A 17141-nucleotide genomic window follows, 5' to 3' on the forward strand; every position below is an offset into this window, starting at 1 on the left:
GCATATTTTCCAAAAATCAAGGTGTATTTATGCTAATTTGTATAGGAATGTTTGTAGTAGCATTAGTCACGATATAAATGTTTCCATCAACTCCTAATGTGGAGGTAGACCTAGGCCGATGCTACCCTTGCCGTGCATTGGCATCATACGTTCACCTACCATATATCTGATATGATTGATGCAAATCCATATATTCTATAATGAAACCACCAAGATAAAGAATTTAGACAAAATACTGAAACTTTTTTGCCTCAGTATGCCTGGCTTAATAACAGGAAAGAATAGCAAGCCTGTTGCAGAAATCTCAAGCTTAGGAGACCCCAGCATTGTAAAGAAAGGAAACTCTGCCTTAGAAGGAGGCATTGTCTTTACCTTTCATGGGTGTTTCTTATACATAGCCCCTTGAGGATAATCTGCAACAGAAGGCTGTAAGTCACAAACAGCCTCATACTGTATGAATCCATTTATATGAAGTGTCTGTAATAGGCAAATCCATAGTGACAGAAAACGGCTTATTGGATACCAAGGGCTCTAGGAAACGGGGAAGCTGGGAGTTAATGGTAATGGGTGCAGAGGTGTTTTCATTTTTTTGATGATGGAAATCTTCTGTATTTAAAAAGTGGTGATGTTTGCACACCTTTGTGAATACCCTGAAAAAAAACAGAGTATGTACTTTAAAATGGCTAATGTGATAGTTTGTGAGTTATCTCTCAATTAAAAAACTGTTGAAAGCTTGGTCAAAGTTTTGAGCACTACGAGCCTTAGCAGGAATGTAGATGCAAGTTAAACACGAGACAAAAGTATTGAATGGGCCTCAGTCACATAAAGTGGCAGAGAAGTGAACAACTGAAAAAACAATGTGAGCTAAACTCAAAATTGGAATTGAATAAGAAAGAATGCTTTCTCCAGTCTACACAGCAAAACTGGGGGAAATGGCCATGTAGGTGGATGATGGTTTACTTATAAATAATGCCTAGAAATATGCCCCTAAATGTTAAACCATTTTATATAAGAAGGCGAAACTCAGAATCTAGAAAGAAGTTGGCAATATCCGTTTTAAATTATAAATTGTGGAGCATACACCTGAAGAATTTAATGTACCTTTTAATCCTTGTTATACATAAATAGAAGCAGACAGAATTATCTAGTTTGACAATAAAACCAGCAGGATAAATAATTTAGACAAATTATGTAACTTTTTATTGCTTCAGTCTCCACAGTTTAATAAGAAGACCAAATAATAAGTCGTGTTGCAGATATTATGTCTTTGAACCTTTTAGAATAAAGGTCATGCCAGGCATGATTACTCACACATTCAATCAAAACAATTAAGTGTGGGGGGCCAAGGCGGGTGGACGACCTGAGGCCAGGAGTTTGACATCAGCCTGGCCAACATGGAGAAACCCCGTCTGCATTAAAAATGTCAAAAACAAACAAACAAACAAAAAAACTGCCAGTTGGTCTGGGAGGCCCCTGAGTTCCCAGCTACTCAGGAGGCTGACACAGCAGAATTGCTTGAACCCAAGAGGCAGAGGTGGCAGTGAACTGAGATCCTGTCACTCCAGCTTGAGCAACAGAGCAAGATTTAATCACACTCCACCCCCGGGCCATAAATAGATAGATAGATAGATAGATAGATAGATAGATAGATAGATAGATAGATAGATAAATTTAAGTGCAAATATATCAAGTATTGTTTATGCCAGTTCACCTGACAAAAGACAAAAATCCATGTTCTGATGGAATTTACATTTTGGCTTTAGTGAAAAGTAGTGACAACAGCTAGTGATTTTATTTTTAAGTAATAAAGATAAGGTTGGTGGGTTCATTTATAAGCAGGTAAATAGTATAAGCTCAAAGGAGATCTGAGCAAACTTATTGAAACAACAAGGAGTGCAAAACCTCTGAAGTTGTAGCCTACACTGAGGCTCAGAACAAGAAAGAGGACGGTAGAAGAAGATAAGCAAAATATAAGAAGAAGAAAATAATATGCAGTGGTTTATTACATTATAAAGACCATGGTTTTATCTTAGGACAAAGGGAAGCTGGGATTGAATGCTAATAGGTAGATTTACTTTTTAAGGTAAGGACAAATAGTGATGGTTGCATAACGTTGAGAATATCGTGAAAATCACTGAATTTGTACTTTACAATGGCTAATTTTATAGTATCTGAGCTATAACTCACATAGTTGTAATAGTGTAATAGTTGTAATAGTGGAAGATAGGAGATCACTAAAGAGGCTGAGTTAATCAGATGGGAAATGTGGATGACCTGTATCTGGGTGACAGCAGGAGAAACAGGGAAAAGTGGTGAGATTCGGGACCCGTTTTAAAAGGAAAACATGCAGAATTTGGGGATTAATAGAAATGATGAGATGTAAAGAAAAGCATCACTGTTGACCTTACAGTTTTAGGCCTTTGCAGCGGGATGTAATTACTATCAGGTGAAATGGGAAACACCTGGGGAAAGTTTTTTGGCAGGAGCATCAGAATTCAGTGTGTAGCCTTGAGATCAAATTGTCTGTTAAACATGAGTATGTGCATTAGAGTCATCCATGATTTGGGCTTTAGTAAGAGACTGGCTGGAGATAACAATCTGGGACTCAGTACCATTTAGAAATCCATGGTACTGAAGAGATAACTGGGAGATTGAGAGTAAACTCACTAGGAATAGTTCAAAGAAGAGACAAACTAAGAAATAGTTGTTACATTTGGCCAGGACTGGTGGCTCACACCTCCAATGGCAGCACTTTGGGAGCCTGAGGCAGGCAGACGGCTTGATCCCAGGAATCAAGACCAGCCTGGGATACAAGGAGAGGCCGTGTTTCTACCAAAATTAGCTAGTCTGGGTGGCCTGTAGTCACAGTCACCCTGGAGGCTGCAGTGGAAAGATCGCTTGAGCCTGGGAGGTTGAGGCTGCAGTCAGTTCTTGATAAAGCACTGCACTCCAGCCTGGAGAACAGAGGCAGACCATGTCTCAATAAACACACAAACAACAAAGACAAGAAATTTAAAAAACAAACTATTATATTTGGCAAAAAGGGAAGCTAATTATTTTAAATATAGTACATTTGGTAGACTGTTGGGGATGAAAGCCTGACTGGTAAAGGTAAGTAGAATTTTCAAATGAGAGTGTAATATCAATGGTAAAAATATTCACCTGAAATTCAAGGTAAAATTTTAAATTTAGCAATTAGGGTGTCACTGATGACCTTTGAGAAAGGACTATGACTTCACTGTTGTGGGATAAAACTTGAGGCAGAATAAGAACTGATGGAAAGGAAATAGCTAATAGAAATTCTCTGTGCAAATTAAAGCAGAGAAAAAGGTCAGTACCAAAAGAGACAGTTTTTTTTTGTTGTGGATCATAAAATATGGAGTTTTTTATACATGTGTGATAAGGAAATCAGGGCAGTGAAGAAGAGAATAAAATTAATTATGCAAAAGAGGAAAATATCAATCATATTGATGAGTTGGGTCCAGGAGGATGTATTTTAAAATGTGATAAATGTTTTGTCTTTGAATAAATAAGTGCATATAGATAAAGGTGTGATTAGGATCAGAATAATGAACAACAGAAGTTGAGGAATTTAATACTCTGCAGCATAAAACTTAGCAAATTGGAGGAAAGCATATTTATGATAAGTTATGAGAATAAAAGCAATGCAAAGAAAGTTCAGGAAATAAACATCTTATCAAATAAAAATAAAATAGTAACTTCTTGATTCTTCCCTTCCACTTACTTAAACTACTGCTTCTATTTTTCCCATTGTTATATTTTAACAAAAGACCAATGTCTTCTGGGAAAATATTATGTTTTCTCTCTGGTAATTTGCATTAGATTCTTACACCTTTCATGCCTTTTTATTATATTAACAACCTTTTTAGTCAGAAAAAGGTTTCTGTTCCAATATTTACTTGAGTTAAAAGTCCTGTTGCCTTTTCTCTTCCTTCTTATTCATTTTTGTTTAATATTGCTTCCCACACATAATGACTAATTGACCTTGACAGTATATCAGTAATTTCTCTGGCAGTTTGTCTGCAAAGAACCTAATAAGAGCTATTTCACCCCACCCCTACCCCCCCCCAACAAAATAGAATTTGGATCTTCTATAACCATTCAAATCTGGATTTCATATCTATTTAAATTGAAACTTTTCTTGATTAATAACTTCATTAATAACTTGATTAATAACTTCATAACTTTACTTGATTAATAACTTCATAACTTCTGCATTAAATCAAGCCAAGAATCAGTATTTTAAATGAAAAATGGCCAACAACTAACAATAAGTGGTACTTAAAGGGCTCACTATTTTCTATTCCTCTCTCAATCAGAAATACCTGTTAGATACTTTTCTCAGTGTCATCATGGTTAGATTTGGCTTAGACATTGTGCCCTTTTGTTTTAGTTGATGTCAGCAGGAGACACTGGCTGAAGGTCACAAAAAGGAAACTTAGGAGAAATGTGCACCTTTTTTCTTACTACTTGAAGACAGGACTATCATCTTGGTATTAAGGGGTAGTCAATGCCTCATACAAGTTTTATTGTCTATTTCCTTTAAACAATATGTACTGAAGAAATAGTACGTCAAGTTACTGGACATATTGACTGAATTATGTCAAATGCTTTAATTGACTAAATTATGTCAAGTCATGGTTTAATATTTCTTAAACAAGACATAGATTTTTAAGTTGTGATTAGTGAGCCGTATTTACTTTTTTATATTTTCCATGAACAGTGAATTATACAGAATCTGGTTTTCTTCTGTTTGGATTTGATACTGAGCTATACTGGATTCACTGACAAGAAGAGTTTGAATTAGCAGCATGCTGAGAATGGACACAGTGTTTGAAGAGACTGATAAAGAAAGTACAGGAGGAGTTTTATTTTTGGAAGAAGAAATGGTCCTTGGGCACAGACCCCATATGAGTTTTCCTTTCAGCGTTCTCTGCTCAGCTGTTCTCTGCTGTGGTGAGGCGCCTATGCTTTGTATATGTCTGAAATTAATTGAAAAGCTAGTGACAGATTCTGATGTCATTTGCCATGAGCTTTATTGTTGTGCAGGTAATTTTGGATCAAATCACCCTAACGTTTTTCAACAAAGACTTTAGAAGAAATAAAGCTGCATTACTTTTTCTTGGCGCATTCTTCCTTTAGGACCTATAGTGAGGTAAGTGACACAAATATCTCTCATTCTCTGTTTCCAAACAGTAAATAGAATATAAATAGTTCACGAACAAGATTAAGGAAGTGATAATCATCGTTCCTCTAACTGAAATGCACCCTCTGTTTAGATTTATTTACTTTTCACAATTTTGAAAATTTTCCCATGCAATTTTTATCAGTCATAAGGTAATGATAGTTTTTTAACAATGCAAATGGGATTAAGTCAGTCGTTTTTTCTGTTCCTTTTAATATTATTCTAATTCAGCCTCATGGGCATTCCAAATAGTTATGAGGGATAGAAATATAACATTAAATTAAGGGATGAGAGTAGAGTGAGAAGAGAGTATGGCTCAAAATTAATCTCATAAATTTTATTTGTCAACTGACGTGATTTAACACGTTAGTGGTAGATTTTCTAGATATCCCTAAATTTGTAGCTATGACTTGGAATATCAAAACATAGCTAGGCAGTTCATTTCCATCTGACTTCTCTCTGTTACTATGCTGATTTGCACGAGTACTGTAAATTTTGTAAGAACTAATTTCATTCAGATGTGCATTTAGAGTTCCAAGATAGTAAAATGTATAAAAATTATATACATTTTATATAATTAGGAGGCAATGGGGATAAGTGTTACCTTTCAATAAAAAGGTAAGTGCAGAAGTTTATAAACACATGCAAAAATGTGTAACCTCACGATTTAATCTTCTATGCAAATACAAATTAGTAATAGGAGGAGCAATTACTAACACTAGGAGCAATTAGTAAAAGCAAGAGCAATTAGTAACACTAGTAACACTAGCAATTAGTAACACTAGCACTAACAGATGTGCATGTAGAGTTCCAAGATAGTAAAATGTATAAAAATTATATACATTTTATATGATTAGGAGGCAATGGGGATAAGTCTTACCTTTCATCAAAAAGGTAAGTGCAGAAGTTTATAAACACATGCAAAAATATGTAACCTCACGATTTAATCTTCTATGCGAATACAAATTAGTAATAGCAGGAGCAATTAGTAACACTAGCAGGGCAATAAACATTCCTGCAAAGCCAAAGGCTTAATCTGAGTGACAATGCATGCAGTGATTCTGGACCATACTCTGGAGCTAATTTAAGTTTAATTGACTGAATCTCCTGAAAGAAAAGGACTTAGGCAGAAATAACAAAAAATGAACAACACAATAGCCAAAAAACTCAACAAATAAATAAAACTCCTGACAATATCAGAACCAATAAATCTCCATGTAGTAAAAACACACCTCATTTTGTTGCTATAGTTGTTGTTGTTTGGAGACAGAGTCTCGCTCTGTCACCCAGGCTGCAGTGCAGTGGTGTGATCTCACCCCCCTGCAGCTTCCAACTCCCAGGTTCAAGGGATTTTCCTGCCTCAGCCTCCCGAGTAGCTGGGACTACAGGTGCACACCACCACGCCTAGATAATTTTTGTGTTTTTAGTAGAGATGGGTTTTCACTATACTGGTCCGGCTGGTCTTAAGCTCCTGACCTCGTGATCCACCCACCTTGACCTCCGAAAGGGTTGGGATTACAGGTGTGTACCATCGTGCCTGGCCAACTTTTTCTTTTTTACAAGGTCAACTTATGAAATTTTATAAATTTCTTAAATTTCTTGCAATAGACCGAGCATGGTGGCTCACACCTCTAATCCCAGCACCTTGAAAGGCCGAGTCGGGTAGATCACCTGAGGTTGGCAGTTCCAGGCCAGCTTAGCTAACATAGTGAAACCCCATCTCTACTAAAAATACAAAACTAGCTGGGCGAGTGGCACGTGCCTCTAATTCCAGCTACTTCAGAGGCTGAGGCAGTGGAATCGCTTGAGCCTGGAAGGTAGAGTTTGCAATTCTGTGATCATGAGAAATGTTAAGATTACTATATGCATATATATGTGTGTGTGTATATACATATATATAGTAATCACCTACATATATATACACACAGCCACAGACATGCACACACCCACACACACACACGTGCACACACACACACACCCGTTAGCTCTGTGTATATATTCTTTTGAAAACAGAAGATACTTATTTTTAATTAGGTTATTATTTCCTTGTTCTTTTGAATCATTTTTAGTTCCTGGTATATTTTGATTAACTCCTTGTCTGATGTACAGTTTGCAAATATTTTCTCTCATTCTATCACTCTGGTGATTTATTTTATTTTATTTTCATTTTTGCTGTATGGAAGTTTTCTAGTATAATGTAACCTCATTTTTCTGCCTGTGTGTTTTTTGCTTGTGCTTTTGAAGTCTTATCCAAAAAACATTCCTGCCCAGACCAACGTCATTAAATGTGTTTTGTGATTTATTCAACTAGTTTGACAGTTTTGTGTTTTCATTACATCTTTATTTTTAAATGTTTTTTAAAATATATTCTTATAGGTGAGGTCTCACTATATTACCTAGTGTGGAGTACAGTGGCATAAGTGTTTCATGCTACAGCTTTCGACACCTAGGCTCAGGTGATCCTCGCATCTGAGACTCCTGAGTAGCTGAAACTACAGGGGCACACCACTGCAGTAGGCTTTTTAATCCGTGTGAGTTAATTTTTGTACGTGGTGAGAAATAGGGTTTTAATTATATTCTTTTGCATGTAGCTCTCTTGTTTTCCCAGCACCACTTATGGAAGAGATTGACATTTTCTCATTTTGTGTTCTTGGCACCTCTGAGGAATATCAGTTGGCTATACAGGTGTAAATTTATTTTTGTTCACTGTGTTCTATTGTATTGGTTTATAGCATTGTGACATCTCCAGTTCTGTGGGTTCACTCCCCAACCGCACTGCCATCTTCACGATTGCTTTGACTATTCAGGGTTTTTGTGTGTGTGTGTTTGTGGTTTTGTATTAATTTAGGATTTTTTCAATTTCTGTGAAAAATGCGATTGGTGTTTTGATAGAGATTGCATTCTATCTGTGCACTGCTTTGGCTCATATAAACATTTTAACCATATTACTTTTTCCAATCAACGAACATAGAAACATAGATATATTTTCATTTAGTTATGTCATTTTAACATTTTATTAATGTTTCATAGTTTTCAGAATGCAGATTTTTTTACCTCCTTGCTTAAATTTACTCCTTTTTATCCCCCATAGCTATTGTAAATGAGATTGTTTTCTGAAGTTTTTTTTTTAATACATACTTTGCTATTAGTGCATGGAAATGCTATGGAATTTTATATGTTGATTTCATAAACGGAAACGTTACTGACTTTCAGAATTAGTTCTAACTACTTTTTAGTGGTATGTTTAAGGATTCCCTTATATGTCATTAGCATATATGGACAATTTTACTTCTGCCTTTCCAACTTGGGTGACTTTTCTCACTTTCTCTTGACTAATTTATCTAGTTAATGACTTTCGGTTTTATGTTACTATAAGTAGTGAAAGTGAACATCCTGGTCTTCTTTCAGATCTTCACAGCAAAGCTTTCAATTTTAACTCTCACTGACTGTGATACTAGCTAAGGGTTCATCATATATAGTGTTATCTGGTTATTTGGGTCTATGTCATTTGTTGTGTTGAGTTACAGTTGTTCCACGCATGATTTATTAAGAGATTTTATTGTGAAAAATGTCGAATTTTGTCATTTTTTTCATATATCGAAATGAATGCATAGACTTTGTTCTTTATTTTGTTGATGTAATCTATGACATTTAATAATTCTCGTGTATTAAACCATTCCTGCATCCCTGTAATCTCGTTTGATCACGGTGAATGATTTTCCAAATGTGCATTATAAGTCATTTTCCCAGTATTGTGTTGAGGATTTTTGCATTATGTTTATTAGATATAGTGGCCCATAGTTTTCTCTTTTTTCTTGTATCCTTGTCTGGTTTAGTAATCAGCGTAATGCCGTCCCCATGGAATGAGTTGGAACGGTTCCCATATCTTCCTTTTTTCTTTTATGTTTTTGTTTTCACTAGGTTAAAAAAAAGTGGCAGTAGTTTCCTTTTTGTGGTAGGTAGAATGCAGCAGTGAACACATCAGGTCCTGGGCTTATCTTTAACAGGTGACTTTTTACAGCTGATTCGATTTCTTACCATTAATTTATTTCTTGGTGTCAGTTATGGTATCTCTTTTTTGGCTCTGATTTTCTTTATTAGGGGCTTTGTTTTTTTTTTACTTTTAAGTTTAGCTTTTTGTTTTTCTGATTCCTTGATTGAAACATCAAGTTGTGTATTTGATATCTTGTTTTACATGAAGGCATTTATTGCCATAACTTCCCTCTTAAAACTGCTTTGGTTGTTTCCCACAGGTTTTGCGGTGTTGTGTTTCTATTTTTGACTCAAGAAACACGGTGTTTTATCCTTATTGTCTTCATTGATTCACTGGTTGTTCAGGAGTATGTTGTTTAATTTTGATATACTTATGATTTAGTGATTTCGGAAGAGATACTTGATATGACTTTGATCTTTTCAAATTTGTTAAGATGTGACTTTTTTTGCCTAATGTATGACGTATCCTGGAAGATCTTCCATGTTTGCAGTGGAGAAGAATGTTTATTTTATAGCTCTTGGATGGATAGTTCAGTAGCTGTTTTTAGCATTTGCCCTACTCGGCATTTTAATCCAATGCTTACTTATTGAATTCAGTCTGCATTATCTATTCTTTGCAGAGAGTAAGGTGCTGAAGTTTTCTATTATTATCTTGCACTTTTTATCTGTCTTTGGATCTATTAACATTTGTATTATATATATGCATATATTACTTATATACTTGCATTCTTGAAATAATATTTTCTTTTCTTTCTCCTGCTTAATTCTGTATCCTCTCTTTGACTTTGATATTTGGTGGTTAGGTTATATTAAGTCATGCAGATATTTTTATTGATATTGAATATGATTGGAAGCCCTTGATATTCCTGTAGCAGAATATTTATATTTCTATGTAAGTTTGGAAAGGTTTCTCATTATTTCTCTAAATAAGCTTTCTACTCTTTTTTATACATTTTTTTGTTGAGATGGAGGTTTGCTCTTGTCTCAGGTTGGAGTGCAATGGTGTGATTGTGACTCACTGCAACTTCCAAGTCCTGGGTTCCAGAGATTCTCCTGAGTTCAAGTGATTCTCCAAACTCAGCCTTCTGAGTAGCTGGGGTTACAGATGTCCACCAATATAACTGGCTAATTTTGGTATTTTAATAGAGAAACAGTTTCACCATGTAGCCAGGCTGCTCTCAGGCTCTTGGCAACATGTGATCCTCCCACCTTGGCCTCCCAAAGTGCTGGGAATACAGGCATGAGCCATTGTGCCCAGCTCTACCACACTCTTGAATGCTAGTGTCTGATACCTTTGCTGTTTGGATGTTATCCCATTAATCTCATGAATCTTATTTATATTTGCTCCTCTGACTGTGTACTTTGAATTGACCTATCTTTGAGTTTTGCTGCTTGACCATTTCTGTTGGCATTGCTGTCAACTGCATTTTTTATTTTGTGGTGTTTTATTCTTCAAGATTTTTGTTTGTTTTTTTCTCCCATTATTTTAACCTCTCAGGTAAGTTTCTCTGATAAATTTCAGAATCCTTTGTGTTTTCCTGAAGTCCACTGCATTGTCTTAAAATAATTATTTTGAATTCCTTGTCAGGCAATGTGTCCATGCCCGTCTCTTGTGGGTCAGTCACCACTGACACCTTATTTTGACCACTCGATGCCATCATCTTTCTCTCATCGATCCTAATCCTTGGGACTACGCATCAATGTCTGCACAGTGATGTAGGTGCCTAATTCAATGTTCATGGTTTGGCTGTGTTTGGAAGCTTTCTTCCACGGTAAGCCTGTCCAGAGATTCAGGGCAAGGAGAAGAAGGAAATTAAGGTGTTTAAGTCTAAGATAGCTTCAGCCCTGGTAGCACTAGGGGAAACACTAATGAGCAGACTTTCATGGTTGGTGTAATTTGACCGGCAAAGCTGAGTCAATGCCAGGCTCCATCTGTAGCACACAGTTGAGCAATGGGTGCACTCAAGGTCTGTAGCTTCCATGGTCTGCCCTGTGTCGTTTATTTGGTGCCTGAAGTTACTGCAGTCAATCAACAGGAATATTGACAGGAACTGAAGTCCATTCTGCTGAGGTCATAGTTTCTGATCTGTTGCCGGGGTTGGTCTATAAGGTTAACCCTGAGTATCAGCCTCCTAAAGTGCTGGGGTCAGGGGAAAGGGATATAAAAGTCCCAAGGCAAAAAAGCTCTATGCCTACTACCTTTGCACAAGCAATCCTCCCACCTCTGCCTCCTGAATAGTTGAGATACAGGCATGTGCCTCCATGCCTCCCTAACATTTTTTTGTGTATTTCCTTGTTGTTACTGTTGTTCTTTGTTGTTGTTGTTGTTGTTGTTGTTGTTGTTGCTGTTGTTGTTGGGCTCAAGTGATCTACTCACCTCAGCCTCCTAAAGTGCTAGGATTACAGTATGAGTCACTATACCCAGCTAAAATTACTTTCTAAGACTTAATTTTTAGGTCATTTATTTTTATTCAGTCTTATTTCTCATAAATACAGTTCAGAATGTTATTGCTTTAGAGTTTCTCTTTGGGTATTCCTGAAGGAATAAATGGACTGTTGATATTCATTTTCTAAATGGTGTTATAAAATGAGTAATTACTTTAGGTAAGTGATGACTATTTGGCCTCTTTTTGTTTTCTAGCTTCATTTCATTGTGTATGAAGAGTGTATTTTTTTAACCCACCTGCATATGTGAAATGAAGTTTTACTCTTTCAACTGAATGTAGTACAGAATTGTTTAAACTGATTATTCAACTACTTCATAATTTTGGTTTTCTTTCTTGTGCATATTCGTCTAATTATTCGCAGAACAATGTCAAAATTAAATTAATTTGCTTATGAAAAATTTTTCTGATAAAATTACATACATACATGCAAACAAAAGCACATACACATGTAACACTTAATTTCTAAAACTTTTAGTTTTTCTTCTTCTCTAGTACCTGGTATTCCATCACTCAGCAAAATCTGTTCAGTTCTACTTCCAGGATTTACTTTAACTCCACAGCTTATTTCCTACTTTCTGTTATCACCATAATCTAAAACACAGTTTATATTACATTTGCCTCCTATTTTACTCTGTAATTTCTTACTTTACACTCTAACTTTCTATAAAAAAGAAGCTACATTTTCAAGGTCTAATTCAGGTAATTTGATTTTTTCTTTGTTGAGAAATCTTTCTATGTGCTGTCACACCTTATAGCATCAGATATGAATGTATCTATCTAATTTCATCTGTTCCAGCTATTTTCTTTGAGGGAATATGTATAGAAGTTTATAAATATGAATATATATGTATTCCCTTATTATTTGTTTTTCCCAGGAGTAATATATGTTTTGCATGCATAGATTTACTAAATCCCTGATAATGGAAAGTTAGCACTTTTTTTTTGTTTCTTTTAAGTCAATTATTTTCTGAAGGAGGTGGGTTGGGAGGCATATATGTTAACATGTCAAGTTTAAAAGAGAAAGTGGCCATTACTAATACAAATTATTCTCTAACATTTTCATATTTACCGTTAATAGCATCGCTGATTATATGTTCCCTCTTATCAGTTGTGTATGGGGCCATTCACCGCAACATACTAGCAATCCACACCTGCAACAACTTTGCTGCCATTAAGCTATGGGTAATAAAATTCATCTTTGTCATGATATGGCATTCCTTGGTGACTATCTCACGTGTAGTGACTCTGGCATTTTTCCCTGCATCTCTGAAACTGAGGACCCTACACTTTCTATTAATCATATATTTTGTATTATTTTTGGCATCATGGCCGGAGATTTGGAAAACTGGAGTTCATTTTCATAGCAACACAGAAAATAATTCCAGCATGGCGGGTACAGTATGGATGCTTATCTTAACCATGCTAGTATAAGCTGCCATCAACTTCTCTGCTGGTCATCAGTTAAGCTGCAGCTGTCAAATAAGAAAATAATTGACAAGAGACAGAGGTGGACCACACAATCCAACACTGCAGCTTTCCGGTTTTAGAAAATGTGATAATAATATTGGTATTTTGGTTCTTTGGAGGGAAAATTTTACTGAAGCCTTGCGACTCATTAATTGCCATGTAGCTCATCATAACCTACCTATTAGCCATTGGCTTTATGCTCCTCTTCTGTCAGTGTCTGCATCCAAGGTGATCAGACAAAGTATTGCCAGGACATACAGAAAATCATCCAGAAGCACTGTGATATTGTGTAAACATCTAGAGAAAACTCAAAAGAATAAAAATAAGCAGCTGAGGAATTACTGTCATTCATGGAGAAGGGTTGGATGTTATCAATAAAAAGTATGCAATATCCATAAAATATACATATATACTTTCACAGAACAAAGAGTAAAGAGGCTGGATATGACTTTATAAAGATACTCATAAAAATATAAACAGCAAAGTCTTGGAAGTAGTTTCTAATAAAATTGATTTTTCTCCTGTTACTATGCATTAGCAATTTTTATTTTCTTCAATATAATTGTACAAATTTTTAAACAAAACAAAACAAAATCAAAAATCCCTCTGGGTCCAAAATCTGGGCAGAAAAAAAACCCATAATGCATTTTTCACCTGGTACACTTTTGGAACATGTGCCTTTAATTTAACAAGTGTTTGTAATCTAGCATATACATTATCAGCGAATATTTTCTTTTCAGAAAGAGTACTTACCATAGTTTTCATTCTGTACTTAAGGAGAACCTGAAAGAGAAGTCTTATGAGCATGCTCCTACTTATATTAATTTAAGGTAACCAAAGTGTTTCTCATTAAACTGACTAACAGAAAACCACTCATATTAATGCATCTTAAAGCACAAAACCTGTTCTCTTAAAAATAAATCATCAGGTTAATAACGTAATATATTAATTTACATTCCTACCAATAGTGCACAAGCATTCTCTGTGCCCTACATTCTCAAAAACACTTGTCGTTTTTCATCTTGATAGTAATGGCCATTCCAACATGTGTGAAAGCAGGTCTCATTGTTGGTTTCAATTTGCATTTCCCTGATGGTGGTGTTGAGCATCTTTAAACATGCAGTTGTTCAGAAATTAGCCGGGTGAAGTAGCACACACCTATAATCCCAGCTACTAGGGAGGCTGAGGCAGAATTGCTGGAAACCAGTGGGTGGAGATTCAGTGAGCTGAGATCACATCACTGCACTCCAGCCTGGATGACAGAGTGAGAATCCATCTCAAATCAATCAATTAATCAATATTTAATTTAGAGTTGTTTGCTAGTTGTATGTCTTCTTTTGAGAAATGTAAATTCAGGTCCTCTGTCCATATTTCATAGGCTTAATTTTTGTTGTTGTTGTTGTTAAGTGGCTTGAGTTCCTTGTATGTATTTATTATTCACCTTTTATCATGTATGTGGTTTGCAGATATTTTCTCCAAGTGTTTTAGTTGTCTCTTCAATCTATTTGTTTCCCTTTTCCCTTTGCAGTGCAGAAACATTTCAGTTTGATGTAATATGATCCAATTGTTTTTTGTTGTGCTTTTGTAGCCTGTGCTTTTGGGGTCATAGAATTGAGGTTTCAAAAATAAAGTTAAATTAAACATAGAATTACCACATGATCCAGCTACTCTACTTCAAAATATGTGCTCAAAGCATATAAAATTAGCATGTCAAAGAGATAGCTGCAGTCCTATATTCATCTCAGCGTTATTCATAATAGCCAAGATACAGTAACAACCCAAGGGCTCATCAACAGATCGACAGATAAAGTGTGGCACATATATACAATGAGATATACTACACAGCCTTAAAAACAGGAGGAAGTCCTGTTACTTATTTGTGACCAAGTGAATGGAAATGGAAGATATTATGCTCAGTGTAATAAGAGAGGCACAGAAAGACAAGTATAGGGTGATCACAATTATATATAAAAAAGTTGAACTCATTCAAACAGTGAATATGTCAGATATGGTGGCTCATGCCTGTAACTCCAGCATCTTAGGAGGATGAGATGGTTGGATCACTTGGGGTCAGAAGTTTGAGGACCCAGTGAGCCATACTTGTGCCACTGTACTCCAGCCTTGGCAATGCAGCACGGCCCTGACTCTAAACAAACACGGAAAAAAAGAGTCCGAGATTGGAGTGAGGGGTGGTGATAGGAGTGGATAGAGAAAGGGGAGATGTTCATCAAAGGGTAAAATATTTCAGTGAGAAAGGAAGGAGTTCTGGAGATCCACTGCACAGAATGGTGACCACAGTTAATAAGTCAACTTCAAAGTTGCTTAATAAAGAAAAGGGCAGGCATGTTGGCTCATGTCTGAAATCCAGGCACTTTGAACGCCTATGGTGGGAGGATCACTAGAGGTCAGGAGTTCGAGACCATCCTGGCCAAAATGAGGAAACACTGTCTCTACTGAACATACAAGAATTAGCCAGGTTTGGTGGCATGCGTATGTCATCCCAGCTACTCGAGTAGCTGAGCAAGAGAAAAACTTCAACTCGGGAGACAGAGGTTGAATTCTATCTCAGACAAATAGGTTGTTTAAAAAGTAGAATTTATATATTCTTACCACAAGAAAGAAATGGTAAGTATGTGAGGTGATAGATATGGTAACTAGCCCAATTTAATTCTTTTGCAACATATACATGCATTATAAAATCAGTTTGTGTCCCATAAATATTTACATTTGTTAATTTAAAATAAAAATTGTAAAAGAATGAATTATAATTAAAATAAAATGGGCTTAATGTATATAGACAGTAATATATGCTAAAGGTTTCTTCTATTTTGACTATTTGGATTCTGTTATTTCTTGGGGAAACAATCACAGTGGGAAGGGATGAAGAACGCTAAAGCTTAATGTTATATAATTTACATTATTTTGTTGTTGTTTTCTCCTTTTTTTTTTTTGTTTTCTACCAACCAATGGAGACTACTTTCTTATTCACACTTTCTTTTGTGTTTCTTTCTCATGAGAAATCACCACCAACAATAAAGCTCCTGTAGATTTGTGTATTATTTTTCTGCTCCTATCTATGACTCTCTTCACCTGTCCTTTGGATTTCAGAACTTCTTAAAAGACTGATTTACTTATTATTTGTTATCTCTCTGTACCATTACTTCTTCACTCTACCTACAGGATCATTATCCTTACTCTTTTATTTTAGTTTAGTTTAATTTTTTTTGAAGACGGAGTCTCTGGCACAATCTCAGCTCACTGCAACCTTAGCCTCCCAGATTCAGGTGATTCTCCTGCCTCAGCCTCCTGAGTATCTGATGTTAGAGGCATGTACTGCCATGCTTGGCTAAATTTTGAATTTTTAATTGTGATGGGGTTTCACTGTGTTGCCAAGGCTGGTCTTGAACAAACCTCGAGTGACCCACCACCTCAGCTTCCCAAAGTGCTGGAAGTACAGGTGTGAGCCACCAAACCAGGCTTGATCATTTTCTTTACTAGATCTACATGCTGTTAGTCTTAGTCCTAGATACGGCACTCTCAACTCATTTGTTTATTTGCCGTGATAACAAGACTCATGGAAAGAGTTTGCCCTGACAAGGTTTAATTTTATTTCTCTTAACCCTCTTTTCTTCAGGCATTTACCCTGTTTTTTAGAATCATATCTTATACTTGTCACTAAATCCCATATTTCACTTGTCTGTTGCATATTACTCAAGCAGTCATGTGTATCTACAGAACTGATTCACACCCTCATTCCTGAAATACTATTTTGCTTTGGATTACATGACTCAACTTACCTCTGATTTCTCTATTTAACTTTACGTGCCCTGTCTTTCATTTTATCTCATAGATGTCTGTTCATGAGACCACTAAGGTAACTACACAGAATACCTCTTCCTCCTTCCCTTGCTCATTTCCCTTTTCCCTTCCTTTTTTCTTTTCTTTCCTTAAGAAAATGTTCACCCAGCCTGGAGTGCAGTAGTGAGACCTGGACTGACTACAGCCTCAAATTCCTGGGCTCAAGAAAT

At 36.0% G+C, this 17141-nt stretch overlaps 1 long non-coding RNA gene and 1 pseudogene across 1 annotated transcript in view; both read left to right on the forward strand.

Moving 5' to 3' along the window:
• LOC124905304 (uncharacterized) overlaps positions 1-17141 on the forward strand; it is a 33826-nt gene that overhangs the window by 11835 nt on the left and 4850 nt on the right. The window contains exons 6-8 of the long non-coding RNA XR_007068457.1: positions 4745-4977; positions 5071-5176; positions 10788-10915. This is a non-coding gene — a long non-coding RNA (uncharacterized LOC124905304). The remainder of the gene's footprint in view (positions 1-4744; positions 4978-5070; positions 5177-10787; positions 10916-17141) is intronic.
• On the forward strand, positions 11937-13733 carry XKRYP1 (XK related, Y-linked pseudogene 1; annotated as a pseudogene).

The sequence above is a fragment of the Homo sapiens genome, chromosome Y, assembly GCF_000001405.40.
Source record: "Homo sapiens chromosome Y, GRCh38.p14 Primary Assembly".
NCBI classification, from domain to species: Eukaryota; Metazoa; Chordata; class Mammalia; order Primates; family Hominidae; genus Homo; species Homo sapiens.